Source organism: Homo sapiens, chromosome 12 (assembly GCF_000001405.40).
Source record: "Homo sapiens chromosome 12, GRCh38.p14 Primary Assembly".
Taxonomy (NCBI): Eukaryota; Metazoa; Chordata; class Mammalia; order Primates; family Hominidae; genus Homo; species Homo sapiens.
The window spans coordinates 120,094,573-120,119,464 of NC_000012.12; the positions used below are offsets into that span (position 1 = coordinate 120,094,573).

The 24,892-nt window shown below is 55.0% G+C and overlaps 1 protein-coding gene and 1 long non-coding RNA gene across 3 annotated transcripts, besides 22 other annotated features; one reads left to right on the top strand and one right to left on the bottom strand.

Moving 5' to 3' along the window:
• Positions 1-526: 526 nt before the first annotated feature.
• On the bottom strand, positions 527-22,181 carry RAB35 (RAB35, member RAS oncogene family). 2 transcript variants are annotated; one of them, NM_006861.7, is made up of 6 exons: positions 22,027-22,181; positions 13,845-13,895; positions 9,254-9,377; positions 4,458-4,582; positions 4,239-4,363; positions 527-2,801 (listed from the first exon to the last, which is right to left on the bottom strand). In NM_006861.7, the coding sequence occupies exons 1-6, from the start codon at positions 22,076-22,078 to the stop codon at positions 2,673-2,675; spliced, it is 606 nt and encodes a 201-aa protein (NP_006852.1). In that variant the 5' UTR covers positions 22,079-22,181; the 3' UTR covers positions 527-2,672. The 2 variants fall into 2 exon arrangements, with proteins under 2 accessions (NP_006852.1, NP_001161078.1); NM_001167606.2 differs by lacking the exon at positions 4,239-4,363.
• Positions 8,019-8,620: an enhancer, noted in NCBI's record as "H3K27ac-H3K4me1 hESC enhancer chr12:120540395-120540996 (GRCh37/hg19 assembly coordinates)". NCBI's record gives its function as "activates a minimal SCP1, AML or CMV promoter by ChIP-STARR-seq in primed H9 embryonic stem cells {active_cell/tissue: H9 hESC(primed)}" and the evidence as "EXISTENCE:reporter gene assay evidence [ECO:0000049][PMID:30033119]".
• Positions 8,621-9,222: an enhancer, noted in NCBI's record as "H3K27ac hESC enhancer chr12:120540997-120541598 (GRCh37/hg19 assembly coordinates)". NCBI's record gives its function as "activates a minimal SCP1, AML or CMV promoter by ChIP-STARR-seq in primed H9 embryonic stem cells {active_cell/tissue: H9 hESC(primed)}" and the evidence as "EXISTENCE:reporter gene assay evidence [ECO:0000049][PMID:30033119]".
• Positions 9,223-9,824: an enhancer, noted in NCBI's record as "H3K27ac-H3K4me1 hESC enhancer chr12:120541599-120542200 (GRCh37/hg19 assembly coordinates)". NCBI's record gives its function as "activates a minimal SCP1, AML or CMV promoter by ChIP-STARR-seq in naive H9 embryonic stem cells {active_cell/tissue: H9 hESC(naive)}" and the evidence as "EXISTENCE:reporter gene assay evidence [ECO:0000049][PMID:30033119]".
• Positions 9,825-10,426: an enhancer, noted in NCBI's record as "H3K27ac-H3K4me1 hESC enhancer chr12:120542201-120542802 (GRCh37/hg19 assembly coordinates)". NCBI's record gives its function as "activates a minimal SCP1, AML or CMV promoter by ChIP-STARR-seq in naive and primed H9 embryonic stem cells {active_cell/tissue: H9 hESC(naive and primed)}" and the evidence as "EXISTENCE:reporter gene assay evidence [ECO:0000049][PMID:30033119]".
• Positions 14,841-15,360: an enhancer, noted in NCBI's record as "H3K27ac hESC enhancer chr12:120547217-120547736 (GRCh37/hg19 assembly coordinates)". NCBI's record gives its function as "activates a minimal SCP1, AML or CMV promoter by ChIP-STARR-seq in naive H9 embryonic stem cells {active_cell/tissue: H9 hESC(naive)}" and the evidence as "EXISTENCE:reporter gene assay evidence [ECO:0000049][PMID:30033119]".
• Positions 15,361-15,878: an enhancer, noted in NCBI's record as "H3K27ac-H3K4me1 hESC enhancer chr12:120547737-120548254 (GRCh37/hg19 assembly coordinates)". NCBI's record gives its function as "activates a minimal SCP1, AML or CMV promoter by ChIP-STARR-seq in naive H9 embryonic stem cells {active_cell/tissue: H9 hESC(naive)}" and the evidence as "EXISTENCE:reporter gene assay evidence [ECO:0000049][PMID:30033119]".
• Positions 15,719-15,828: an enhancer, noted in NCBI's record as "active region_7122". NCBI's record gives its function as "activates an Ori minimal core promoter by ATAC-STARR-seq in GM12878 lymphoblastoid cells {active_cell/tissue: GM12878}" and the evidence as "EXISTENCE:reporter gene assay evidence [ECO:0000049][PMID:35858748]".
• Positions 15,879-16,398: an enhancer, noted in NCBI's record as "H3K27ac-H3K4me1 hESC enhancer chr12:120548255-120548774 (GRCh37/hg19 assembly coordinates)". NCBI's record gives its function as "activates a minimal SCP1, AML or CMV promoter by ChIP-STARR-seq in naive H9 embryonic stem cells {active_cell/tissue: H9 hESC(naive)}" and the evidence as "EXISTENCE:reporter gene assay evidence [ECO:0000049][PMID:30033119]".
• Positions 16,319-16,368: an enhancer, noted in NCBI's record as "active region_7123". NCBI's record gives its function as "activates an Ori minimal core promoter by ATAC-STARR-seq in GM12878 lymphoblastoid cells {active_cell/tissue: GM12878}" and the evidence as "EXISTENCE:reporter gene assay evidence [ECO:0000049][PMID:35858748]".
• Positions 16,559-16,758: an enhancer, noted in NCBI's record as "active region_7124". NCBI's record gives its function as "activates an Ori minimal core promoter by ATAC-STARR-seq in GM12878 lymphoblastoid cells {active_cell/tissue: GM12878}" and the evidence as "EXISTENCE:reporter gene assay evidence [ECO:0000049][PMID:35858748]".
• Positions 21,372-22,164: an enhancer, noted in NCBI's record as "OCT4-H3K27ac hESC enhancer chr12:120553748-120554540 (GRCh37/hg19 assembly coordinates)". NCBI's record gives its function as "activates a minimal SCP1, AML or CMV promoter by ChIP-STARR-seq in primed H9 embryonic stem cells {active_cell/tissue: H9 hESC(primed)}" and the evidence as "EXISTENCE:reporter gene assay evidence [ECO:0000049][PMID:30033119]".
• Positions 21,882-22,011: a silencer, noted in NCBI's record as "silent region_4938". NCBI's record gives its function as "represses an Ori minimal core promoter by ATAC-STARR-seq in GM12878 lymphoblastoid cells {active_cell/tissue: GM12878}" and the evidence as "EXISTENCE:reporter gene assay evidence [ECO:0000049][PMID:35858748]".
• Positions 22,112-22,421: a silencer, noted in NCBI's record as "silent region_4939". NCBI's record gives its function as "represses an Ori minimal core promoter by ATAC-STARR-seq in GM12878 lymphoblastoid cells {active_cell/tissue: GM12878}" and the evidence as "EXISTENCE:reporter gene assay evidence [ECO:0000049][PMID:35858748]".
• Positions 22,112-22,956: a biological region, named in NCBI's record as "OCT4-H3K27ac hESC enhancer GRCh37_chr12:120554541-120555332".
• Positions 22,165-22,956: an enhancer, noted in NCBI's record as "OCT4-H3K27ac hESC enhancer chr12:120554541-120555332 (GRCh37/hg19 assembly coordinates)". NCBI's record gives its function as "activates a minimal SCP1, AML or CMV promoter by ChIP-STARR-seq in primed H9 embryonic stem cells {active_cell/tissue: H9 hESC(primed)}" and the evidence as "EXISTENCE:reporter gene assay evidence [ECO:0000049][PMID:30033119]".
• Positions 22,335-24,431, top strand: RAB35-AS1 (RAB35 antisense RNA 1). Its single transcript, NR_182302.1, has one exon. It is a non-coding gene; the product is annotated as an RAB35 antisense RNA 1 (long non-coding RNA).
• Positions 22,582-22,931: a silencer, noted in NCBI's record as "silent region_4940". NCBI's record gives its function as "represses an Ori minimal core promoter by ATAC-STARR-seq in GM12878 lymphoblastoid cells {active_cell/tissue: GM12878}" and the evidence as "EXISTENCE:reporter gene assay evidence [ECO:0000049][PMID:35858748]".
• Positions 23,022-23,081: a silencer, noted in NCBI's record as "silent region_4941". NCBI's record gives its function as "represses an Ori minimal core promoter by ATAC-STARR-seq in GM12878 lymphoblastoid cells {active_cell/tissue: GM12878}" and the evidence as "EXISTENCE:reporter gene assay evidence [ECO:0000049][PMID:35858748]".
• Positions 23,069-23,247: a silencer, noted in NCBI's record as "fragment chr12:120555445-120555623 (GRCh37/hg19 assembly coordinates)". NCBI's record gives its function as "represses an EF-1alpha promoter that drives an FKBP-Casp9 reporter gene in an ReSE screen in phorbol 12-myristate 13-acetate-treated (for megakaryocytic differentiation) K562 erythroleukemia cells {active_cell/tissue: K562(+PMA)}" and the evidence as "EXISTENCE:reporter gene assay evidence [ECO:0000049][PMID:32094911]".
• Positions 23,749-24,540: an enhancer, noted in NCBI's record as "H3K27ac hESC enhancer chr12:120556125-120556916 (GRCh37/hg19 assembly coordinates)". NCBI's record gives its function as "activates a minimal SCP1, AML or CMV promoter by ChIP-STARR-seq in primed H9 embryonic stem cells {active_cell/tissue: H9 hESC(primed)}" and the evidence as "EXISTENCE:reporter gene assay evidence [ECO:0000049][PMID:30033119]".
• Positions 23,960-24,059: an enhancer, noted in NCBI's record as "active region_7125". NCBI's record gives its function as "activates an Ori minimal core promoter by ATAC-STARR-seq in GM12878 lymphoblastoid cells {active_cell/tissue: GM12878}" and the evidence as "EXISTENCE:reporter gene assay evidence [ECO:0000049][PMID:35858748]".
• Positions 24,090-24,159: an enhancer, noted in NCBI's record as "active region_7126". NCBI's record gives its function as "activates an Ori minimal core promoter by ATAC-STARR-seq in GM12878 lymphoblastoid cells {active_cell/tissue: GM12878}" and the evidence as "EXISTENCE:reporter gene assay evidence [ECO:0000049][PMID:35858748]".
• Positions 24,200-24,249: an enhancer, noted in NCBI's record as "active region_7127". NCBI's record gives its function as "activates an Ori minimal core promoter by ATAC-STARR-seq in GM12878 lymphoblastoid cells {active_cell/tissue: GM12878}" and the evidence as "EXISTENCE:reporter gene assay evidence [ECO:0000049][PMID:35858748]".

The window sequence follows — 24,892 nt, forward strand, 5'->3', positions numbered from 1 at the left end:
GCTGCTGCTGGAGAGGTAGCAATAGTGGTTCCCCTGCACCCGGGCCACCTCAGATGCTGGTACTTACTTAACCAAGGGATTTGGCCAGGAAGGGCATCCTCCCCTGCCCCTCCCGCCTGGCACTGCCCCCTGCCAGTGCTGCAGCGTGCCATCCGCAAGGCAGGCCTGCCAACGCTGCTTCCCAGGCCAGCAGGGCCCTAAAGCTTGGCAGAAACTTCAAGCCAGAAAGAAACCACGCCAGGCAAAGGCTTCCACTGCATCCTTCCAGGCATGTGGAGGATAAACACGGAGCTTCCCCTGGCATCTTACCACATGTGCTCCCAGTCCAACTAGGGGGAGACTCAACCCTGGCCCACCTGTTCATGGAGAAAATGGACCTGGCTTCTGGAAGTGTCCCAAGGGCCTCGACAGGCTCCTGTGCAAGACTTAGGCCAAGAACAGGGAAGAGCAGGACACGGTGGGTGGGAAGAAGCCACGGCCACTCAGCACATCTCTGGAGGGAGAGCAAACAGACCCTGGAAGAAAATTTGGCAGCTTGAACCTTTATTTTTAGTATTTTTTTAAAAAGCATAATTAGAAACTTTCAATACAGAAATACTCCTAGCAAACCATTGAAAAGTGGTGTTTGTTTGACAGGAATTTCACATCAGGTCCACTAGGACGTCGGTCCAGCCCTGAGTCCCCACCCCCACCCCATAACCCCCATTCATGCGTGTAACAGTGGGACAGGCACACTGTCATGACCAAAATCACCCCAATACCTGGGGCTGATGTCCAGCTGCCAGAAGCCATGGGGGCTTCTAGCCTGGGCTGGAAGCCCCCAGGAACCCCCCTCTTATTGCTTGAATTTGCAAGCACACCCTCGCTGGCCTCGCCTGATCGCTCAGAGGCCAGCATGCCCCCCGCCCACCGGCACAGGAGCCCCAGGCACCGTGCATCCTCAGGGCCCGTGGCCAACCAGGACAGTCCCAAGGACGGAGACCCCGCTTCTGCTCCTGCCGCCCCCGCCCCCGACCAGATGAGGCTGCCTGCTGGTCAGCCCTGCAGCCCCCTCCACAGCACCCTCCTTCCCAGGCCCATGGGGCTCCCCCACCCCATCCCGTGGCTCCAAAGTGAAGGCCTGTCCCAGAATCACCAGCTTTTGGCAGTTTGGGCAAGTGGAGAGTCGGTGAGAAGAAACCCCCAGTTTTTATTGATTAAAAACCCATCCACAGTGCTAACATGGAAACTGCAGTGTGATCTGTGATGTGATTGTCCAATCAGGGCTCTCCCTGGAAATCGCCTAGGAAAGGAAATCTAAGGAAACACATCCTGGTGTTAAACTCGGTTCTTCCCAGGTCACTTGATCCCTGTAGTGGGAGGGGAATGAGGTGTCCGGGCTGGGGGTCGGGGAGCAGTCATCAAGTGCAGATGACCCTGGTTGTTCTCCAGGGCACTGGGGCGTGTCAAAACTGGCCGCCCCAGCCATTCCTTCCCACCCGCCAGGAAATCCTCTTGCTACCTTTGTCCTGACAAAGGTTAGGACAGTGACCAGGGCCTGTCCATGGTCCCCACCCAGAGGCCCCAGGCATGCACTCCCCACAGTGCCCGAGGCTGCAGTGTAGACTCCTGACCTCCAGTGGGAGGCAACTCGGACAAGGGTGGGAGGCCCCTTCTCCGCTCCCACCAAGAAAGCCCAAGAGTCCAGCCCCACAATGGCAGGAAGCCATTCATTTTTTTCTAAAAACAGTGGACACAAGTGGGGTGGCCTCAACTTTTGCTGCTGTGCCAATCAAACCTCAGGGAAAGAAAATAATTGTGAGGAATTTAATTCACTTGATTTGGCTTCATTTTCTTGATCTGTTAAAATAATCCTCCCATAGCCCCCCTGCCAGCCCCATCTCTGCACGAACCTACCCCGACCTTTCTGTTGGAACTGAAACCTGTTGGTGTAAATGAGAAGCCATGGCTGCCCTGGGTTTGGAGCTCAGAGGCATCTAGAAGGCAGGACAAGAAATCTGTTGGCCAAAGGGCAAGACCTGCCACCTCTGTGGAACTGCAGGGCCTGCCTTGAGACCAGGTTCCCCAGCTCCCAGAATGGCTGTGGGGACAGGACAACGGGGAGGGAAGGGAGCTGGCACAGGCCCCGGAGAAGGGGCAAGACCCTGTGCAGCGGGGACAGAGGCTGACAACCTGTCGGAGAGAATGAGCAACGCGGAGCCCACTCCACTGGCACGGGCTGGCCGCAGACGCAGCTAGAACGTGCCGCTGTCTCCTCAGGACGCTGCTTGCAGTAAGATGGGCTGGGGAGGGGCGCGGGGAGGGTCTGTTGCAGCAGGCTGGCATCAAGAAGGCAAAAGCCAGAGCAGGACGTGGTGTGCGGCCGGGTAGAGCAATATACACTATGTACAGACTCTGCGAATCAGTCCGCTCGGCGGGCAGCGTCCTCGCCAGGTCCAGGCGCCTTGGCCGGGGAGGAGGGGGCACCAGTAGGGAAGGGCGGGCTGGTCCAACACCTTCTTGGCACTCGAGGAGGGCGGGGGAGGAAGTGCCGATGGCACCTCCCGATACAAAAACATGGAGAGAATTCTTTAAATAACGGCACGAAACTGAGACTGTCCCCCGAGGAACCTCCGTGGGCCTCGGGCTGGGGGAGGGACCGCAGTGCAGTCTCTGCAGTGGACTGGGTGCCATTAGCAGCAGCGTTTCTTTCGTTTACTGTTCTTCGTGAGCTTCACCACATCGTTCTGTTGTTGCTGCTGCTGTTTTGCCAGGTTGTCTTTCTTTGCTCGGAGGACCAGCTCCGTGATGCAGTTGAACATCTGTGGAGAGGAAAGAGGAAGGGCCCGCCTCAGACCTGGCCAGGAGGCCCCTGCTGGCCTGCACGGCTGCCTCCCCGCCTTCCGGGGCCCAGCTCTTTCTACCTGTGCATTTTTGGTATGTATGTCTTCAAAGCCTATTCTAGAAGGAGGTGGTGAATTATTTTATTTAAAGGTCAAAAAGGAACAACATTGCTAAAACCCCACCTCTACAAAAAACACAAAAATTAGCCGGGAGTGGTGGTGCACACCTGTAGTCCCAGCTACTTGAGAAGCTAAGGTGGGAGGATTACTTGAGCCCAGGAGATCGAGACTACAGTGGGCTGTGAACACACCACTGCACTCCAGCCTGGATGACAGAGTTAGACCCTGACTCAACAAATAAATAAGTCTGAAAAAAGGAACACCATCAGAGGCCCATGAGCTGTGTGGACTTGGGGAAGTCAATCTCACAGGGGTTTTCCAGTCCTTCTTTTAGAGAGACCAACCCCTTTCCTTCAGCTGGAATCTTTTTTTTTTTTTTTTTTTTGTGAGATGGAGTCTCGCTCTGTCGCCCAGGCTGGAGTGCAGTGGCGTGATCTCAGCTCACTGCAAACTCTGCCTCCCTGGTTCACACCATTCTCCTGCCTCAGCCTCCCGAGTAGCTGGGACTACAGGCGCCCACCACCACGCCCGGCTAATTTTTTTGTATTTTTAGTAGAGACAGGGTTCCACCATGTTAGCCAGGATGGTCTCGATCTCCTGACCTCGTGATCCGCCCGCCTCGGCCTCCCAAAGCACTGAGATTACAGGCGTGAGCCGGCGCGCCCGGCCCAGCTGGAATCTTATGACATGACAGATGAAAGTGCCCCTGCTGTTCACGGACATAGGTGACCCGGGGTCTGCCTGCTCCACGCCACTTCATGGCATGTGGGGCCCAGAGAGGTGAAGTCACCGCCCAAGGTCATACCAGCCTTGCCCACAGGCCCAGGTGGATGGGCCAGCATCAGGACACCAGCCTGACTTACAAAGGAGCCTGTGCCCGCTGCTGTGTGGCCCCTGTGCCCTGAAGCAGTGGGATCCTCGACTTCCACAGGCCTCTGGGCTCCACACAGCACAAGGCGGCCAATGAGGCAGAGGACTGGAGTGGAAACTGTGCTTGGCTTTGGTGTGGGACAGAGGTTTACTCAGTCTCTTACTAGCCAGGTGGTGGTCCTTGAGTTACTTCAACACTTGGAGCCTCAGTTTCCCTATTTGAAATGTGGGTATAATTGTACCTACCTCAGAGGACTGTTGAACTATGAACTAAGATCGTTAAAGGGCCTGGCACATAGTAGGCACTCAATAAATGGCAGTTACTATGACATTTTCTGTTGGTCATTTAGATGCCTCAAGCAGGCCAGCAGCATGGAGAAGGCGGCCACGGGTGTGTGGCAGAGCCACAGTGGCCCAGGGCCTCACCTCTTCCACGTTGACATTCTCCTTGGCGCTGGTCTCGAACAACTGGATGCCCATCTGCCCGGCGAATTTGTAGGCATCTTCCGTCTCCACCACCTTCCGCTCAGGGTCGTCATTCTTATTACCCACTTCAAACGAAGGCAGAGTCAGCGCAGCCCTGAGGGGCGCAGCCGGCTGCCTCTCTCCCACCCAACCCCGACCCGGCCCTGAGTGCAGCCTCACCTAATATTCGGCACACATCATCACAGTTCTGGTTGATTTCGTGAAGCCACCGCTTGACGTTGACAAAGGACTCGGCACTGGTGACGTCGTAAACCACAATGACCCCGTGGGTCCCCCGATAATACCTGCAGGGCCAGAGTGTGCGGCAGCATGTCAACCCCGACAGGAGTCACCCCCTTGCCGGGACCCACCTGCCCACGTCAGGACACTGACCCGGAAAAGGTGAGGGTGGCCCTGGAGCCTGGGCTCTCACTCAGCCTCGGCAGATGCCCCCGAGCCACAACAGGCCAGCAGGAGAGGCTACTGCGGCAGCACTGACTCCCCCTGCCCGCCCGGGGCACCAACAGGGCGGGAGGGCCAGCCCCTGGGCAGCAGAGCAGGTCTGAGGAGTCACCTCCTGCTGTTCAGAGTCTGCTGCAGGCTTGAAACATCTTTGAAGTTCTTGCTTTATTTTGGGAAATCAGGCAGTTTTTGTATTTGACATCATGTTATCACTGTCTTTGAACATTCAAAAAAATATTTGCTCCTCAAACCTGTTTTAGAGAACCTTTCCAAGAAGCCACACCATCATGACGCCCTGGCAAAGTCTGTGCCCCTCCCCTGGGGCAGGTAGGCACCTCCCTTCCTGCTACTCTTGGCTCATCTGTGCAGGTGGCAGGAAAAGCATGGAAGCCACACAAGCATCCAGGGATGGCTGGGGAGAGGGCGCCCAGCAAAGCCATCACCCCAAACATGCAGAGCCCAGGGCCAGCCAGGAAGGCCAGAAGGAAGGGGAGGCCCAACTCTCCTCTCCAGACCCCATGTCCCCATTCATCCCAGTGGCACAGGACGACATCAATCCCCGGAGGAGGAGGGGGACCACAGCCTCCGCTTCCCCGAGAGCTGTCGAAGAGCCGGAGGCCAGGCGGCAGCCCCGCCCCACACTGTGCAATCAGCCAGAGCTGTCCCTCTGTCCCCTCTCCCCAAAGCCGCAGGGACCTCCACCCCAGGGCTCCTCAGGACAGCACACAGACAAACCATGAGTGGACAGGCCGCTTCCTCCCGGCTTTCTGGCTGCCACCTGCCCCAGCCCTAATTACCTCCACCCCCATGAGGTTCATGGGGACAGCCCAAGCCCCAGTTCAGGAACAGCCCAAGTCAGCGCAGGCTGAGCAAGAATGGGGCAGCCAGGCTGACTTGTGGCTGCAGCTCCATTCCTGTCCACCTGCCCATCAGCTCTCTGGCCAATGCTTCACATCTGAGGCCCGATCTAAGGACAAAGACCAACCCTGGCTCCATCTCTGAAAGGCTGGCCCTTGGGAAGGTGCCTGCATTCACCCTGCCACACCTTGCAGCTTCAACAGTTATAGCACACAGGTGGCTAGTCCTTAACTGGGGTGGTCATGAGGAAGAAAGGAGCTAAGCATTACCCCAAGGCGGGGGAGCAGTAAACAGTCAGTATGCGTTCTTCAGCATCATCAATGTGCCTTCAAGGACAATCTGTGGTCCCAGACAGAGGTGGTGGAAGGAAACCAACAGGCAGCTTAGGGGCAGCCCTGAGCATCTTCCCTGATGCTGCAGAGCCAGAGCTCCTGCCCAGCCCTGGGACAAAGCCCAACCTGCCCCTGCCACCGCCCCTGCCCCATCCTTGCTCCATCCTCAACACGACCGCTGGGATCTCTTCCCAGGGCTTCATTCTGCCCACAGCTTTGCTTCCAGGGCAGCGTCGCTCCTTGGCTTCGGGGTAGCTGTGACGATCAAGCTCTCTTGGCACTGGGCCCAAGAACTAGCTCTGGCCTTGGCAGCTGCTGCTGAGAGCGCCGGGTCAGCACATGGCATGGTGTGTCAGACGCCTTCCAGAGCGAGGGCGCGCCGGAGCCACAGGAACAGGCGACTGTCCCCTGCCAGCAGAGGAAGCCCAAGGAGCGGATGGCTCTGCAGACTCTCCTTTGCTGAAGATGATCAGAGATGCCAAGAAACGCCTGCAGCCATGGCCCCGGCGCACAGCCCCCGCGGCTCCCTGGGCGCCTCTGCCTCATCCGGGGCCCAGGAAAGGGGCTTTATCTGAGAGCAGAGAATTTGTCTGGGGATGAAGTCAGGGGCTCAGAGCTCTGGCTAGGAGGAACCGGAGCACCGACGTTTCCCATGGCCACCAGGAATCACCTTCACTCACAGGGACTCTGCTCTAGGCCAGGCACAGAGCTGGGGGCTTGGTATCCATTACCTTATTAATGTCTGCAGCCACCTGATCCAGCAGACCTCAGGATGGCCATGTGACCAGCAAGGACGTGAGGCTGAGTGCAGCGGCCAGCTGGAAGTCCTGGCGCCCAGGGCTGACTCCCAGGCCCAACGCCAGGGCCTTGCCTTCCTTGTCACTTCTCCCCTCACCTCCATCCCACCCGCACCTCTCAGGGCCGGCAAACCTCAGCTTCTGAGAGCAAGAACCCGAGAAGGGGTGACCACAAGGCTTTTTCTCGCCAGGCTAACAGGATGCAGTTTCAGTTTCTCTCTGAACGCCCTGCATCGGAAAAAAGTCACGCTACTGCATCCTGACTGCCCTATTCCTGAAAACTCCTCACCTCCCCAAAACTCCTTCCTTCTTTGCCAGTGACCATCAAAGGGCGTCGAGACTTCCAGTGGCCCCTCAGGGCGCCCTGCTGGGCCTCCTGCCTCATGAGGGCCAGAGCGGGACTCTAAGATGGAGCCACCTGTCTGCTTCCCCAGACACGTGGGACGGCAGCAGGGGCCCAGCCGCTGCCCACAGGCCGCCCCTTCCCAAGCCCCTGGGGAAAAACCCATGTTGCTCCCAGGAAGCTGAGTGACTCCTCCCCGCCTCCCCACGGAATGGAGGAACCAGTTCACCTTCTTCCCGCTCTGCCCAGCCCAGAAAGCAGCTGACTGCATGATGGCAGGGAGGGGCTGTGGCTCCTCCTGCTGAAAGAGCCTCGGACCCCCCAGGCCCCACTGCCCTGCCCAGGAGTTCATTCCTCATGGCCACGGGCCTCTGAACCTCTGCCACCCTGAACCTCCGCCTGGTTTTAAGGCACAGGACGGGGCAGGAAGGCAGGGGCGCCACCTGCCCAGTCGATGCAGGGCCTCGGCAGACTCAGGGCCAACCCTGAGTGCCCCCAACCTCTGCCCCACTGAGTTAGGAGGCTTCATCCTCCCTGGGCCTGTTTTCCTGTCCATAAAATGGAGATAGTCACAGGTCTCTCTACCGGGATTAACCAAAATAAAGCAGCTGAAATCCTAGCGACAGGACCAACCCAGAGCAAGGATTCATGAGGTCAGCGCCCAGACCAGCCAACGGCATGAGGGCTTGCCTCGCCTGGGCCTGCAGCCCCAGGCTGCCCAAAGCACTGATGCCAGCCCTGCCCCAGTGTCCTCCGCAGATTCTCACTGGCAGCTGCCAAGACATGCAGGCCACAGAGCCCTCGCTCACAGGGCTCATCAACGGTCACCACACAGCACCACACCAGGGCGACCCCGGGACTGGGAGCTCCCAGGGATTCCGGGCATCACGGGCCACAGCACAAATGTGCTCAGCATAGGGTGAACCCAGTGACAAGCCCTCCGCCTTGGCTCCAGCCCCAGGAGCTGCTCGCCCAGCACACCTGTCCCTCTCCAGCAGCCCTGCTCTCCCCCATACTCCCAGCCATCCATGGGGGCGCTGCACCCCACACTTCCCACCCTCGGGAGATGCCGAGGGGCCCGGGGGCAGGGGCAGCCAGCCTGGGGAGTGCCGGGCTTTCATGCTGTGGGAAGGAAGGGGGCCGCTGGCTGGGACTTCCTCATTCGCCTTCCTGAGGTCACTTCCAGAGGAGCTGCTCGAGAGAGCCAAGGAGGTGCCCGTGGAGCCAGACAGCCGCCCCTCACTCTGCACAGGCCACTGTGTGGAGCACAGGCTTGGCCGCTGGGAGGGACCCCTCCAGGGCGCCCTCTGTCAAATGGGATGACAGCAGCACCAAGCACACAGAGCTGCCAGACACCACACCCCGGCACGCACGTTGACGCCTGCAGCAGAGCACCTGGCACCCTCCACATGGAAGCCAATCCCAGAGGCAGGCCCTCCAGGAAACGAGCGCAGAGAGCTTCGGCAACTTGCCTAAGGACACACAGCCCAACAGCTCCAAATCGGCCCCTTCAGACCCTGCTCTTTCCTAAAACCTGCTCCACTAACAACCCAATAACCAGGAGCCGCTCCGAAGGACACTGCCCATCTGCGCAGGAGCCCAGCTTCCCCCCGGCCTGCAGCTCAGCCACAAAGGTGGGCAACCGGTGGGCGGCCGGATTTCCCAGGAACAGCTTTAAGGGTAGGGAAGGGCCTGCTGACATGCACCGTGTTCGTCTCTAGACAGCGTCACTTCCAAGGCATCAGTGCAGGTGACGGGAGCCTGCACAGGCCAACTCCAGCTGCCATAACTGACACCTACCAAGAGGAATTGTCAGCGACTAAGTCCTGGGTGGGCAAGGCACTTCGCAACCCCCTAGCGAGGCAAATGCTATTCTGCTCTCTCTGTAAGGTGACGGCACAGTGGGCCGGAGGGTCGGCTGACTCTCCAAGGAGATAGAACATGGCCACTGTCCGGCCAGACTCCAGCCAGGGTGCTCAGCGACTCCCCCACAGCACCCCCCTCACATCTTCAGGACCAGGAAGGGTGCAGCCAAACGCCACCTACTACAGCCAACAACAGGCTCACTTCCCGACAGCCTCAGGGACCCACCAGTGACATTTCCACCATGACCAGGCACCGGTCGCTCAACTGTGTCCACAGGTCAGTGGCGCGGGTTGGGTGGGAGTGGGCGTGTGGACTCACGTGGAGGTGATGGTGCGGAAGCGCTCCTGCCCCGCTGTGTCCCAGATCTGCAGCTTCACCTTCTCCCCGTTGATCTCCACGGTCCGGATCTTGAAATCCACTCCGATCGTGGTGATGTAGCTGCCTGCACACACAGGGCAGTTAACGAGGCCCAGCGCGGTATCTTCCCAGGCCCTGAGCCCCACGCTGCACACAACACACCCCCAGGCTCCCCCACCCTCCCGACTCATTACATGTGCCTGGTACATTCTAGGTCCCAGGGACACAGCCCTGAACATCCTTGTTCACAAGGCCCCTCCACACACAAGTGAAGGAGGGAGACAGGATGCAAGCAAACAAACAAAGAGGACAATTTCCGAGAGTGAAAAGTGACACATAGGAAATAACACGGGATGGGACTGGCGGGAGTGGGACAGGCTCCTTTAGAGTGGCTAGATGGGGACACACCAGCTATGTCTGAGAATGGTAGACCTACGGGCACTCTGGGTTTTTCTTTTCTATTCAAGTCAAAAAAAATTTAGGGCCCTCAAAATTCACTTCCAAACACACAAATAGGTCATGAGCTGCAGTCTGAAAGCCACTGCTCCAGGCAGGGGAGACAGTAGCAAAAACAGCCGTGAGTGGGGGCGGTCACATGAGGTCAAGCCTGCCGCCCAAGGCAGGCAGAAAGTGGCGAGGCCAGATCTTGGACCTGTGTGCCACTTCCAAGAACGTGGACTTTCTCTCGTGTGTGCTGGGGAGGCACCAAAGGGTTTTAATCAGTGGCATGAGCTGCTGCATTTTAAATAGCTCTCTTGCAGCATCTGTGGGAAAAATGGATTTTTTTTGGTGGGGGGGGGACAGCGTCTCATTCTGTCGCCCAGGCTGGAGTGAAGTGGGATTGCACCCTTGACCTTCCCCCAGGGTCTGATAATCCTCCCACCTCAGCCTCCTGAGTAGCTGGGACTACAGGCATGCGCCACCACGCCCGGCTAATTTTTGTGTTTTTAGTACAGACGGGGTTTCACCATGTTGCCCAGGCTGGTCTCAAACTCCTGACCTCAAGTGATCCGCCTGCCTCAGCCTCCCAAAGTGCTGGGATTACAGGCACAAGCCACCGTGCCCGGCCTGAAAGATGGATTTGAGGAGAATTTCTAGCCGGTGTAATTGCCCAGTCCAGCTTTCCAAAGCCTGACACTAGGAAGAGCACAGCTTCTCACTCCATTTGGGGCTTATGCTATAACAGTGCAGGAGACACCACACACACACACAATTATGTGAAATGTGGCAAGGGCGTAGGAAAGGTCAAATTCCAAGGTGGGGTGGGGAACAAGGCAGGCTTCAGGGAGGACGTCACATCTGGGCCTAGCTTGAAAGAACAGGTAAGACTTCAAAGGTTGAGATTAGGTAGGGGAACGACATCCCACTCAAAAGCAAATAGCTGAGGATGATACGCAACCAGAACACATTCAGAAAAGCGGCCAGCACCCGGGGTCTTCCAGCCAGGGGAACGCCAAGGAGTGCAGCCCACTGCCTAGCACAGTTAGGCTCCCCAGAAACAGCTGGTGGCTAACGAACCAAGCAAGCCAAAGAACAAAAGAATGACCAGGGGGTAGGAGGAAGCCAGAAAGGCGAACTGAAAACAGACTACGAGCGCAGTGGTTCTCAGCCGGGATGACTGTCCCTCCAAAGGACACTCAGCAATGTCTGGAGGCATTTTTGGTTGTCACAGCAGGGGGAGGGAAGTGTTGCTGGCATTTAGTGGGTGGAGGCCAGGGATGCTGCTCAACATCCTTCGACACGCAGGATAGCCCCACAACAAAAATCACAGGGCCCAGACCCGGCGCGCTGGCTCACGCCTGTAATCCCAGCACTCTGGGAGGCCGAGGTGGGCAGATCACGAGGTCAGGAGATCAAGACCATCCTGGCTCACATGGTAAAACCCCGTCTCTACTAAAAATACAAAAAATTAGCCAGGCGTGGTGGCGGGCACCTGTGGTCCCAGCTACTTGGGAGGCAGGAGAATGGCGTGAACCCGGGAGGCGGAGCTTGCAGTGAGCCAAGATCACACCACCGCACTCCAGCCTGGGCGACAGAGCGAGACTCCGTCTCAAAAAAAAAAAAAAAAAAAAAAAATCACAGGGCCCAAAGGGTCAACAGTGTCCAAGTGAAGAAATCTTACTGTAAACTCTGTGCAGGTGAGAGGGGCCACTGAGGTTTTTAAACAGAGAAAAGACCCTACCAGACACACACATGAGCGGTTCAGGGTGGGTAGGGGTTGCCGTAATGCTTCCAGGTAGAACCAACAGTAAACTGAGATGCTGGTCGTAGAAATGGAAAGGTGGGAAGAGATTGCAACAACAAGCCCTCCAAGCACTGAACACAGATTGGGATGGGGAGGGAGGAGGCCATTAAGGAGGAAGAGGAACATTTTTTAGCATAATTAGAGGCTGTTAATCAGCTATCATTCTTAAACAGAAGGTTAACAGCCAGTCGCAACAAATAGCTGGTATTTATTGAGCAATTACTTAGTCCCAGGCACTGCAACCTGCACTATCTCAGGTCATCCTATAACAACCCCATGGGGAAAGGACCATTATGATTTCTACTTTACACATGAACTGAGGCTTCTATTTTACAAATGAACTGGCTAAGGTCACACAGAGCAGCCATCTCTTTCTAACACCACACCACTAGTGAGATTGCAGGGACAGTGTCAAGGAAACAAAGGGGGCAAAACCCACTTCTCCACCAAGAGACATCAGCTATGGAATCACTTTCTTTTTCTTTTTTTTTTTTTTTTTTTGAGACGGAGTCTCACTCTGTCGCCAGGCTGGAGTGCTGTGACAAGATCTCGGCTCACTGCAACCAACTCCCTGGTTCAAGCGATTCTCCTGCCTCAGCCTCCTGAGTAGCCGGGATTACAGGCACATGCCGCCACACCCAACTCATTTTTTTATTTTTAGTAGAGACAGAGTTTCACCATATTGGCCAGGATGGTCTCAATCTCCTGACCTCATGATCCACGCGCCTCGGCCTCCCAAAGTGCTAGGATTACAGGCGTGAGCCACCGCGCCTGGCCAACGGAATCACTTTCTAAAGGCAGCCCAGCCATGTCAGAGGGAATTCTCCACAAGATAATCAGAGATGTCAACCCCACCCAAAGCATCTGTAATGAACCTGATTTTTTTTGTTGTTTTTTGAGATGGAGTCTCGCTCTGTCGTTCAGGCTGGAGTGCAGTGGTGCCATCTCAGCTCACTGCAACCTCCCTCTCCCGGATTCAAGCAACTCTCCTGCCTCAGCCTCCCCAGTCGCTAGGATTATAGGTATGCACCACCACGCCCAGCTAATTTTTGTATTTTTAGTAGAGACGGGGTTTCACCATGTTGGTCAGGCTGGTCTCGAACTCCTGACCTCATGATCCACCCGCCTCGGCCTCCCAAAGTGCTGGGATTACAGGTGTGAGCCACCGCACCCGGCTGAACCTGATGTATTTAACAAACAAAAATGTGTTCCATCTTACCAGTGATTAGGGAAATACAAATGTAAACAAGTTAGCCCTTTTTGCCTATCAGCTCAGCAAGAATGAAGACAGCTACTAAGATCCAGCACTGACCAGGGTTGACAAGGGGCACTTTCCACCCTTCAGTGGGACTGGATTAAATGACTCCAGCTTCTTTGAAAAGCAGGTTGGCAGTACCTATGAAAATTCTCAGTGCATACACCCTGTAAGCCAGTAACCCCACTTCTACAGAAACACGTGCACAAGAATAAGTATCAGCTGGGCGCAGTGGCTCACGCCTGTAATCCCAGCACTTTGGAAGGCCAAGGTGGGTGGATCACCTGAGGTCAGACGTTCGAGACCAGCCTGACCAACATGGTGAAACCCCATCTCTATTAAAAATATAAAAATTAGTCGGGCGTGGTGGCAGGTGCCTATAGTCCCAACTACTTGGGAGGTTGAGACAGGAGAATTGCTTGAACCCAGGAGGCAGAGGTTGCAGTGAGCCGAAATCGCGCCACTGCACTCCAGCCTGGGTGACAGAGCAAGACTCCATCTCAAAAAAAAAAAAAAAAAAAAAAAAAGAATAAATATCGCCTATATCCCAAGTAGCTAAGCATCGCTGAAAACACAACCAGAAGTCAGGCACGATGTAACAGCAGCGTCAGTGCACCATGTGGTGCCTTCAAGCACAGAAAGCCCACCGCACTCAGATGAACCACAAAGGCCTGCATGTGGAGCGCAGAAAGAAATCAGAAAGACACACGCTGACCACAGGCTGCCAGGGAGGCATAGGGGGCAGGAGCAGGGACTGTGTCCCGGGTGGCACCATAGACGCTGTTATGGGAACCTTCCTGTTTGGACCATGGGTGGGAAAATGATGGGCCAGCCAAAGGGTTTTCGTGAGCAGGTGCATTAGACAGACCACAGAGGCTTCTGACAGAAGCGCCACAAGGTCCTAAGCCCCACTCCATCTTCTTCCCTCCTCTGGCAACCAGAATGAGACAGTTCCCAACATCAGGCAGAGGCAACTCTGTTTGGTGCCAGGGAGGGGATGTCAACAAACAAACAAAAACGACACCCCAGCAGCACTGCAGGGGAGGACTCACCTGAGAAAGTGTTGTCTGCAAAACGCAACAGTAAACTGCTCTTGCCCACACCTGCAAGAGAGAAAGCACTGCGATGAGGGGGGCAGGTGGGTCCCCTCCCCGCAGCCCCAGCCCTTCTTCCGGGAGAGGATGCCTCAGTCCCAACTCTTAAGAAGCTCGGTGGGACCCAGCTCACTTCTCAATGCTCTTTCCACCTCCCTGAGCGGCCACACACCAAGAACATCTCTTCCACTCGATCCCTGACCTTTTCCTTCGTCCTTGTGTAAGACAAGCTGCTCCCAAATCCCCTGGGGGAGAGATGAGAAAGGGACTGGTGCCCAGGCCCTAGGCTGAGGGCTGGCCCAAAGGGAGATGCCAGACGACAAAGCAGAATGAAGGTCAACCACACGAAACGGCCCCCAAGTGCGTCTACAACATGGTCCCTAGAAAAGTGCACAGCACGTTGTAGCACATCAGTTAGGGAGCCGCCCAAAATGAAGAGCTGTAGAGCGGGAAAGGACCCTTGAGATCATCAGGGCTATTTTGCAGGTGAGGAAACCAAGGCCCACATAGCTAGAACTCAATGGCTACCATCTTTCTGGCTGATGTCCCCGCCGGGTGGGCTGGTGGAGTGGAGGGTCTGCCTTATACCCATCAGGGCAGCAGCCCACATGTGCTCAGACCATGCACCAGCCACAGCAGCTCCTGGCTGCTTAGAGCACAAACATGTACACATCTGGCCTCCCCCACTTTTTTTGTAAAGAAATGGGGTTTCAGGCCAGGCGCGGTGGCTCATGCCTGTAATCCCAGCACTTTGGGAGGCCGAGGCAGGCGGATCACCTGAGGTCGGGAGTTCAAGACCAGCCTGACCAATATGGAGAAACCCCGTCTCTACTAAAAATACAAAATTAGCTGGGCGTGGTGGCACATGCCTGTAATCCCAGCTACTCGGGAGACTGAGGCAGGAGAAGCACTTGAACCCGGGAGGCGGAGGTTGCAGTGAGCTGAGATCATGCCACTGCACTCCAGCCTGGGCAACAAGAGCGAAACTCTGTCTCAAAAAAAAAAAAATGGGGTTTCATTCAGTCACTCAGGCTGGAGTACAATGGTGCAATCATGTCTCACCACAGCCTCCAACTCCTAGGCTCAAGTGATCCTCTGACCTCAGCCTCCCGAGTAGCTGGGACCACATGTGCATACCATCATGCCCAGCTAATTTTTTTATTTTTAGTAGGGACAGAGTCTGGCTACGTTGCCCAGGCTTTTTTTTTTTTTTTTTTTAATCTTTTGTAGAGACGAGGTCTTGCTATGTTGCCCAAGTTGGTCTCAAACTTCTGGCCTCAAGCAACCCTCCCGCCTGGGCCTCCCAAAGCGCTGGGATTACAGGCATGAGCCACTGCGCCTGGACCTCTCCCCTTGACTTCAACTCACAGTGCTTTCAGCCTGCCAAGTACACCTGTTCCATGTCCTCCTATCCTGTCCCCAATCTCCAACACCCCTGAGGCCAGCCAAGTTAATTGACCACAAAGAATTCACATGCATCGGGCTGTGTGTGTGGTGAGCCCTTGGATGCCTCTTTGATTATAATTCTGGCCACATCTCTTGAGATGAGGAACCTCAGGCCCAGAGTGGCCGGCCTAAGTGCCTCTGTGAGCAGCAGTAAAGCTGAGATCTGCATCCAGGCCGGACTCCTCCAGAGTGCTAACACTCCTCCCAATACACATTGCTGGGAGTCTTGCGTCTGGTTCAGGAAGTTTGGAAAAAATGACCTGTGGGGGCTCCAACATCTCACTCCTGTTAGATTTTTAATGAAAATGCCACGAAAGCTATGAAACCCCCTGAAACAAAGTGCAGATTTGAGCCTAGGTGTCTGTTCATGGGAGAAGCCCACAGCATTTTTTTTTTTTTTGGAGAGATAGGGCCTTACTCTGTCTCTCAGGCTGGAGGGCAGTGGTGCGATCATAACTCACTCTAACCTTGAAATCCCCAAGTACTACAGGTGTTCGCCACCACACCCAGCAAACTCTTTAAAAATTTTTTGTAGAGATGGCCTCTCACTATATTGCCCAGGCTGGTCTCAAACTCCTGGCCTCAAGCAATCTGCCCGCTTCTGCCTCCCAAGGTGCTGGGCTAACAGGCCTGAGCCACTGCATTTGGCTCCACAATTTTAATAGATTCTCAAGAAGGGCACTGCCTCCACCTGCACTCTACCAAGTAACCAAAGCGGAAAACCACTGTCGCAGTTGTATTTCCCTAAGCCTAACCCCAGCATCCTCTCTGGGCAATCCTCTAAAGATCTCTTCTGGGAGCTTCTCCTGGTGAGTGAGCTGCCCCACGATGCCCAGAAGAACTTGTTTCACTGAGTAAGCCTGGGTCCTACTTTCCTAAAGACAGGCCAGGGTGAGGCTCTCCTGGGCAGGCAGACGCTGCTCAGCCTGGGCCTGCAGGGCTCATGCTCAGGGCCACTTCCTCCTTGCTCCGCCGTGAGGCTTCCTGCTGAGCTCAAGGAGAGCCCGAGTCCCGGGTTGGGTCCTTCACGGCGCTGTGCCCAACACCAGCACCCCACTGGCCTCGCCGCCTCCTCTGCTTCCTCCTGGAGCCTTCTGGGTCCAGCTTACTCAGCTAAAAGCTTGAGTCTGGGAGTTCCTCTAGGACAGAGCCCTCGCCTCACCCGCCCTGTGCATTCACAGTGCTGTAAGCCAGGCCCAGCACTTAGTAGGTGCCAACCAAACACTGCTTAATGAATTTCTGCCTAAACGAACGCCCGCCACACTGACAGCTCTGCTATCCAGCGCTCCCACTGCAGCACAGCAGGCGCCTAAGCAGGGGTTTCCAAACTTCTGCAGGGCAGCAGAATCCTTTTCTTCATCCAAGCTTTACCCAAATCCCATGTGTAAAACAGCTCTCTCTGCAATGACACAGCAGTATCCCCTCCAGCTTGGCCTCTCCAGGTCCCCATACTGTCCCCAGGCGTCTCGGCAGAGCAGTTAAAAGCCACTAGGCTGGCCAGGCGCAGTGGCTCACACCCGTAATCCCAGCACTTTGGGAGGCCGAGGTGGGCAGATCACGAGGTCAAGAGATCGAGACCATCCTGGCCAACATGATGAACACCCCACCTCTAGTAAAAATACAAAAATTAGCCGGGCGTGGTGGTGCGTGCCTGTAATCCCAGCTACTCGGGAGGCTGAGGCAGGAGAATCGCCTGAACCCAGGAGGCGGAGGTTGCAGCGAACTGAGATCGTGTCACTGCACTCCAGCCTGGGCGACAGAGCGAGACTCCATCTCAAAAAAAAAAAGCCACTAGGCTGCAGAAAGACCACAACCATCACCACATTATCTGCTGCTTTGGACCTGACACCAACCTCTGACACTGCTCTCCCTTTGAGAGGAACAGAAACCCACCCCAAGAAACACTACCTCCTAAATATCCCTGGAAGAGGCTTCCTCGGAAACACAAGCTGCAGCCATTACCCCACACCATCAGTGTCAGGGCAGGAGCAGAGGGCACCCACCAACCTTCACCACAGCCACCCCCGAGGCTGCCCAAGGGCACATCAGCATGACCCCAACCAGTCCAGCCTGTCATTCTTTTTTTTTTTTTTTTAAATGGAGTCTCACTCTGTCGCCCAGGCTGGAGTACGGTGGCGCGATCTTGGCTGCAACCTCCACCTCCCAGATTCAAGCGATTCTCTTGCCTCAGCCTCCGGAGTAGCTGGGATTACAGGCGCCCGCCATCACGCCCAGCTAATTTTTTGTATTGTTTGTAGGGACAGGGTTTCACCACATTGGCCAAGCTGGTCTCGAGCTCCTGACCTCAAGTGATCCGCCTGCCTCGGCCTCCCAAAGTGCTGGGATTATAGGAGTGAGCTACTGCTCCCGGCCTTTTACCCCTGGCTGCTGTATCTGGTCCTCACCACGCAAGCCACACACATGTCTTCCCTTCCTCCTGCTCCTGCCTGGGCTATGGCCCCCTCACTCCTCTCTGCTTCAGTTCAACCTCTTGAAGAGCCCTGACCTTTCAGTGAACTGTTCTCGATATTTTTTTTTTTTTTTGAAACAGGATCTTGCTCTGTTGCTCAGGCTAAAGTGCAGCAGCGTGATCATAGCTCATTGCAGTCTCAACCTCCCAGACTCAAGAGATCCTCCCACCTCAGCCTCCCAAGTAGCTGAGACCACAGGCGTGCACCACCATGCCCTGCTAATTTTCTTCTTTTTGTTGAGACAGGGCCTCCCTATGTTGCCCAGGCTGGTCTCAAACTCTTGGGCTCAAGTGATCCTCCACCTCGGCCTCCCAAAGTGCTGGGATTACAGGTGTGAGCTACCGTGCCTGGACCTTTTTTTTTTTTTGAGACAGTGTCTCATTCTGTCACCCAGGCTGGAGTGCAGTTGTGTGATCCTAACTCCCTGTAACTTTGAACTCCTGGGTTAAAACAATCTTCCTGTCTCAGCCTCCCACATAGCTGGGACTATAGATGTGCACCACCACGCCCAACTGATTTTTTTTTTTTTTTTGAGATGAAGTCTCGCTCTTGTCCCCCAGGCTGGAGTACAGTGGCACGATCTCGGCTCACTGCAACATCCGCCTCCTGGGTTCAAATGATTCTCCTGCCTCAGCCTCCCGAGTAGCTGGGATTACAGGTGCGTACCACCACACCCAACTAATTTTTTGTGTTTTAAGTAGGGACAGGGTTTCACCATGTTGGCCAGGCTGGTCTCGAATTCCTGACCTCAGGTGATCTGCCCACCTCGGCCTCCCAAAGTGCTGGGATTACAGGTGTGAGCCACTGTGCCCGGCCTTTTTTTTTTTTTTTTTTTAAGAGATGGGGTCTCGCTATCACTATGTTGCTCTCACTATGGTCTCGAGTTCAAGTGTTCCTCCCGCCTCATCCTCCCAAAGCACTAGGACAAACTACTGCCCCCAGCCATGTTCTCAATTTTAAACCTGCCTCAGCCACCACCTCACTGTATAACCTCACACAAGTCACGCCCCCTCTCTGAGCCTCAATTTACTCATCTGTCAAGTGAAGGGCTAACTCCATCTCCAAATGAGGATGGCTGGCCTGAGGGATGCAGACGACATGCTGTTACAAATCAAAGCCAGTGTCAGAGAGTATAAGGGAAAGTATAGAAAATACAGAACTGGCCGGGCGCGGTGGCTCACGCCTGTAATCCCAGCACTTTGGGAGGCCGAGGCGGGCGGATCACGAGGTCAGGAGATAGAGACCATACTGGCTAAAATGGTGAAACCCTGTCTCTACTAAAAATACAAAAGATTAGCCGGGCATGGTGGTGGGCACCTGTAGTCCCACCTACTCGGGAGGCTGAGGCAGGAGAATGGCGTGAACCGGGGAGGTGGAGCCGGCAGTGAGCCGAGATCGCGCCACTGCACTCCAGCCTGGGCGACAGAGCGAGACTCCGTCTCAAAAAAAAAAAAAAGGAAAAAAAGAAAATATAGAACCTCCGGCATAACGAAGGGATGCAGAGATTGAGGGAATCCATTGCAGAAGCATCCACAATGTGCAGAGTGGGCAGAACTCTAGATTTATGAAGAAAGAAACCAGCATTCATGGAGGGCCTATTGTTTGCCAGCCCTGACATGAGCTGCTCGCACACGTATTAGCACTGAGATGCAGTGGCTCCCGGCTTTGCCCCTGCTGAGCTATGTGATTTGGGGCAAGTAAGTCACCTCCTCTGAGCCTCAGTTTCCTTTTTTTTAAGACGGAGTTTCATTCTTGTCGCCCAGGCTGGAGTGCAATAGTGCGATCTTGGTTCACTGCAACTTCCGCCTACCAGGTTCAAGCGATTCTCCTGCCTCAGTCTCCCAAGTAGCTGGGATTACAGGCACATTCCACCATGCCCGGCTACTTTTGTATTTTTAGTAGAGACGAGGTTTCATCATGTTGCCCAAGTTGGTCTCAAACTCCTGTCTTCAGGTGATCTGCCCGCCTTGGCCTCCCAAAGTGATGGGATTACAGGCGTGAGCCACCGCGCCCGGCCTTAAGCCTTAGTTTCCTTATTTGACAAATCACACAGGGGGCGGGTGAGAATAAGCGTCTGTGAAATCGTTCAACATATCTTAAGGAGGCATTCACACAAGGAGCCCAGTTCAGGGGAGTGTGTAATGTCAGTCTCTGGGCTCAGCTGCCAAAGCTTAGTCTGGACTTCCATGGCTACCATCTCCCAGCTTTGAGGATCTCAATGTCGGGAGAAATCAAAGAGCACAGCATCCATCTCCTCTGCACAACCTACGCCTACATGGCTGACCTAGGAGCTAGACCACATAAATCTCGACCCAATGAGTCTTCTCCCACACCTGACTTCGGAGAGAAAAATCAATTCATCACACAAAATGTACTGTGAGAAAGCGGGCCAAACCCATCCCCTGGGCTTTACAGAGGAGAAGAGCCAACAAGCTGCATCTTCCTGCTGAGTTTAGGCTTTTCACTGTTGGATATCAACGCAGAGGTCCAGATGTCTTGCAGAGGGATAAAGGCTCCTGACCACGGCGGGCTGTCACTCCAAAAAGAGAGAAATGGCCCCAGTGCCAGTCCCTCAGAACCCAGGCCAGGGCTGCAAGGAAATCATGTAAAGGAAGAAGCCTCAAGACCCTGAAGAATACCAAAGGCCATCTCCAAGAGAACACTCCAGAGCTTGCCTGGTTTCCCTTCATTCAAACCATAACCAGTCAGTACTCCACCTTTCTACCTCCTTCCCCAACCTCAGTTACTCTTCCATCTCCCTGGTTAGCCCCCAGCTTTCCCCCTTACCTCTCCCCTCCTCCAGCAACCACGGAAACCTCAGCCATCCTTCACCTGATCCAAACCACCAACCACATCTCCATCCAGCTTTAAAAGGGAGGCCAAAACCACCCACTTCCCTGACCTAGCTCTGACATCGCTACCCAACACTCCTACATCCCAAGTCATACCGCTCACTTGATTTGATCCCCTTTCCTTAACAGTCCATGGGCTCTACCACCAGCCTGGCCTCTGCCTCCAATCATAAGACATCCCTCCCCACACTCAGCTCAGGTCTGGTCTACAAACTGAGCATGCTCCCAAGACTCTTTCATGAACATCATATAACCCCAGCACCTCAGTTTCGCTCCCATAAACCTTCTGGGGCCTGCCTTCCTGACCTCTTGGTCACTCCATAAACCTGCTCACCTGCCACACTCCAAACAGCTCTAAAACCCTCCACCTTTTCCCAGAAACCAGTCTACCTTTTCGAAGGACACTTAATATTCATTAATTCCTTCTGCAAATATGTCTTAAGCATGTACTGGGTGCCAGGCACTGTTCTAGGCACTGGAGCTAGAGCAGTGATCAGAGCTAGGAGCCCTCAAGCAGTGTGTGTGTGTGGCCAAAGCACTTTTATAATTTTGGCTGTCCCATCCCCAGGACCCCTCTGTATATAGTAGTGTAACAGCAAACAGTGACAACTCACTATGTGCCAGGAGCTGTGAGCAACACTGCAGAATCTCACTTAATACTCACATCAACCCCATAAGGCAGATCCAACTATCATTCCATCTTACAGATGAGGAAACTGAACCACGCAGGGATATAATAATTCAGCAGGAATATGCCAGACCCTGTGCAAAGCCCTTTATCCGACTTACCTCATTTAAACCTCACGGCAATCCCATGAGGCAGGTTCTGAGAACGTCCTCATTTTAGATGGGAAGAAACTGACGCTTATAAAGGATACTGATGATAATGACAATAGTGAACATTTACTTCGAGCTTACTTTACCGGGTAGGGCGCTACGCACTTTTCCTACTTTATCCCATCGAATCCTCACACCACCCAGCAAGGCACATCCCCACTTCTCAGATGAGGGAACTGAGGCTCAGGACGGCGAAGCAACTTGCCCAAGGTCAGCGCGAGGCAGGTGGTAGTCCTGAGACTCGAACCCACGTCTCTCCAACTCCAGAGATCGCGCGACTTGACCAAGGTCACACGTGAGGCAGGAACAGGCGCGATGACTGGACCCGGCGCGCTTGGCCCCTCCGCCCCGCGCCCCAACCTCCCCTCGGCGCGGTCCGGAGCCCCTCGGCGCACCCCTGGGGCCCAGACCGCCGGGCTGCCCCGCCCGCCCGCCCCGCACGGGCCGGCACCTCCCCGCCCGCCTGCCGCCCCGAGGCCCCCGCGGGCCGCGCCCGGCAGGGCCCGCGCCGCCTCCGGCCGCTGCGGCCCTCACCGCTGTCGCCGATGATGAGCAGCTTGAAGAGGTGGTCGTAGTCCCGGGCCATGGCGGGCGGGGGCGGTGCGCGCGGGCGGGCGGGGTCGGTACTGGCCTCGCGATCCGCAGCTCCCTTCGGGCTGCTCCGGCAGCGGCGGATCCACTTCCCGAACAAACAGCCGGAACTGACAGAAACACCTCCCTCCGCTCCCCCTCCTCCTCCTCAGCAGCCGCCGCCGCTACCACCGCCTCCCTCCTTCCCGCCCCGCCCCACCACTGCGCAGGCGCAGCGTCTGGCACCGCCTTGCGCAGCCGCAGCCTGAGCCGGCCGCGCCCGGGTCGCGCACGCGCCCTGACGGAGTCCCAGCAAGCGCGGGCCCGTCTTCCTCGCGTCTCCTCGGGGAGCGTCGTCGCCGCCACCCTGGGCGCTGAGAGCTTGCGGAGCCGAGCCGCTGTCGAGTCCCAGCGGAAAGAAGCCCAAGGTGCCGGAGAAGCCCGGTCGTGGACGTTGTTGCTCCCTCATCTTCGAGACCCGCACGCCCTGCGGAGAGGAAATGACAGGCACGCCGCGACCGTGGGGCGGGGCTCGCACGAGCTCCGGGTTTCCAGAGGCAGGGGCCGGGGCCGTAGAAGGCAGAGTCGCGCGGGGAAGGCCCGGTACCCCGCCCCTTCCGCACCGACCCCTCCCCCGCGGAGCTGGCCCCGGCCCCGGGCCTGTGGAGTGGACGCCGAGGGCGGCGGGCGGCTTCCGAGTTGGACAGAACGGGAGCTGCCGGCGGGAGCAGAGCTGCGAGGAGGTGGCCTTTGAGGGCAGCGCGGGGTCGAAATCCCATCCCAGCGCTGTGACCTCTTGGAGCCCACATTGCCTCTTTGGTGGAGGGGAGGGAGTGGTCCAGCTCCGAGCCGAGCCTGGGAGCTGAATGACCCAGTGTGCAAGGCGCACCTCGGAGACCGAAAGCAACCGCTCCCCCGGCTTCAATTTCACACCACCTGCAGATACACGTCTCAGAATCTGCGGCTAGGAAGACCTGGGCCGCCAGAAGCTAAACGTGTGCATTTTGTCATCAGCCCCGGTTTCTCGTTTTAGAGTGAGTTCCCACCTGCCCTACCTAAACTGACCTGAAACGGAAAGTTGTATGCCCCCACGACCATCCTCACTGCAGAACTGCAGAGGGTTTTAAGCTCCTTATTACCTGTTTCTTATAATCCTGTCCCTTTCCAGGCGAGTATTTATCGGATAGTTCTACTTGTTTTATCAAACTTCCTTTTCTTTTGACTTTATAAAAAGCAATGCCGGGAGGCTGAGGCGGGAGAATCGCTTGAACCCGGGAGGCGGAGGTTGCAGTGAGCTGAGATCTCGCCATTGCACTCCATTCTGGGCAACAAGAGCGAAACTCCGTCTCAAAAAAAAAAAACAATGTTCGTCCTTAAAATTATGTGCAGAAGTTTACTGAAAAGTACAAGTTACTATTTTTCCTTCTGAAGCACTCCTCACAGGTAACCCCTGTTAGTTTCACAGGTAACCTTAAAATGCTTAACACATATTTGTTGAATGAATAAGTGCCCCCCAGTGAATTTCCTTTGCCTGTACAAACATATATGTACATACCTTGCTTTTTCTATTTAACAGTACACTTTTATCATTTAACATCTGCGTGGTATGGTACTCCATCCGATAACCATCGGATGTACTATTATTTAACCACTCCGCTATTAATAGACATTCATGCTGTTTATATTTTTTGGTTATAATAAACATTGTTGCAGGCGGGATCATTGAACAACACATGGAGTGTCTGACTCAAGCCTTGAGTTGTTTTTCCGGGAGCTGAGAATCAGTGTGGTGATATCGAAATAACATGAGCTTGGAATCTGAAGGTACTGGCTAGGGAGAAGAGCTGCTCATGTGCTCCCGATAGAAAGTCCCCCTTGGTCGGGAAGGTTAGGGCCATCCTCTGACTCAGCAGTTTTAGGAAATAGAGGGGGAGAAGGAAGGTATGTACCTTCCTTCCACCAGGGAGGCACGCCCAGCCCTAACCAGCCAGCGAGGCAGTAGGTCCTCCTAGCTCATCTTCACAACCTGGGCTGGTGTCGGGAAGACTTTCGTTCCAATGCTAGCTTTGGAATCCTGGCCTCCATCCCTTAAAAGCTTTGTGATCTTAGGTAAGTCACATCACACTATCTCAAAGCCCCCGTTTCCTCACAGAATGGTTGTTTTAGAGTTATGTTTGTAAATTACCTGGCACATGTAGGCATGTGACAGACTGTAACCAATGTTACTCAAGGTCATTTTGCACTGATTCATACTTTGAGCCATTTCCTACTGTAGACTCTAGCACACATTTTCAAGGCAGCTTCCTGATAATAAGGCTGTAGGATATTTTTGGGAAATAAATCCAAATTGGCCATTAAAACCAGATTCCTGACTTTGCCTGCATGTGTCATCTGGAAAGCAATCGGCATAAATTCCTTCATTTCTTTGGTAACTATTTAATGAGTGTTTATGTGCCACGGATTGCAGAGGTTATAAGAAGAGAGCCTTAGGCCGGGCGCTGTGGCTCACACCCATAATCCCAGCACTTTGGGAGGCTGAGGCGGGAGGATCACGAGGTCAGGAGTTCAAGACCAGCCTGGCCAAGATGGTGAAACCCCATCTCTACTAAAAATAAAAAAAATTAGCCGGGCACGATGGCAGGCGCCGGTAATCCCAGCTACTCGGGAGGCTAAGGCAGGAGAATCGCTTGAACCCGGGTGGCAGAGGTTGCCGAGATTGCACCACTGCACTCCAGCCTAGGCGACAGAGCAAGACTCCGTCTTAAAAAAAAAAAAAAAAAAAAAGGAACAGAGCCTTTTCTCACCAGTTCACAGCCTCATCAAGAGTTAA

What these genes read in the sequence shown, in the direction of transcription:
- RAB35 (NM_006861.7), bottom strand. Translation starts at nt 22,078, where the DNA reads ATGGCCCGGGACTACGACCACCTCTTCAAGCTGCTCATCATCGGCGAC. An exon ending in GCTCATCATCGGCGACAGCG is followed by an intron (nt 13,896 to 22,026) that starts GTGAGGGCCGCA and finishes TCTCTCTTGCAG; the next exon opens with GTGTGGGCAAGAGCAGTTTA. An exon ending in TGCAGACAACACTTTCTCAG is followed by an intron (nt 9,378 to 13,844) that starts GTGAGTCCTCCC and finishes CTGTGTGTGCAG; the next exon opens with GCAGCTACATCACCACGATC.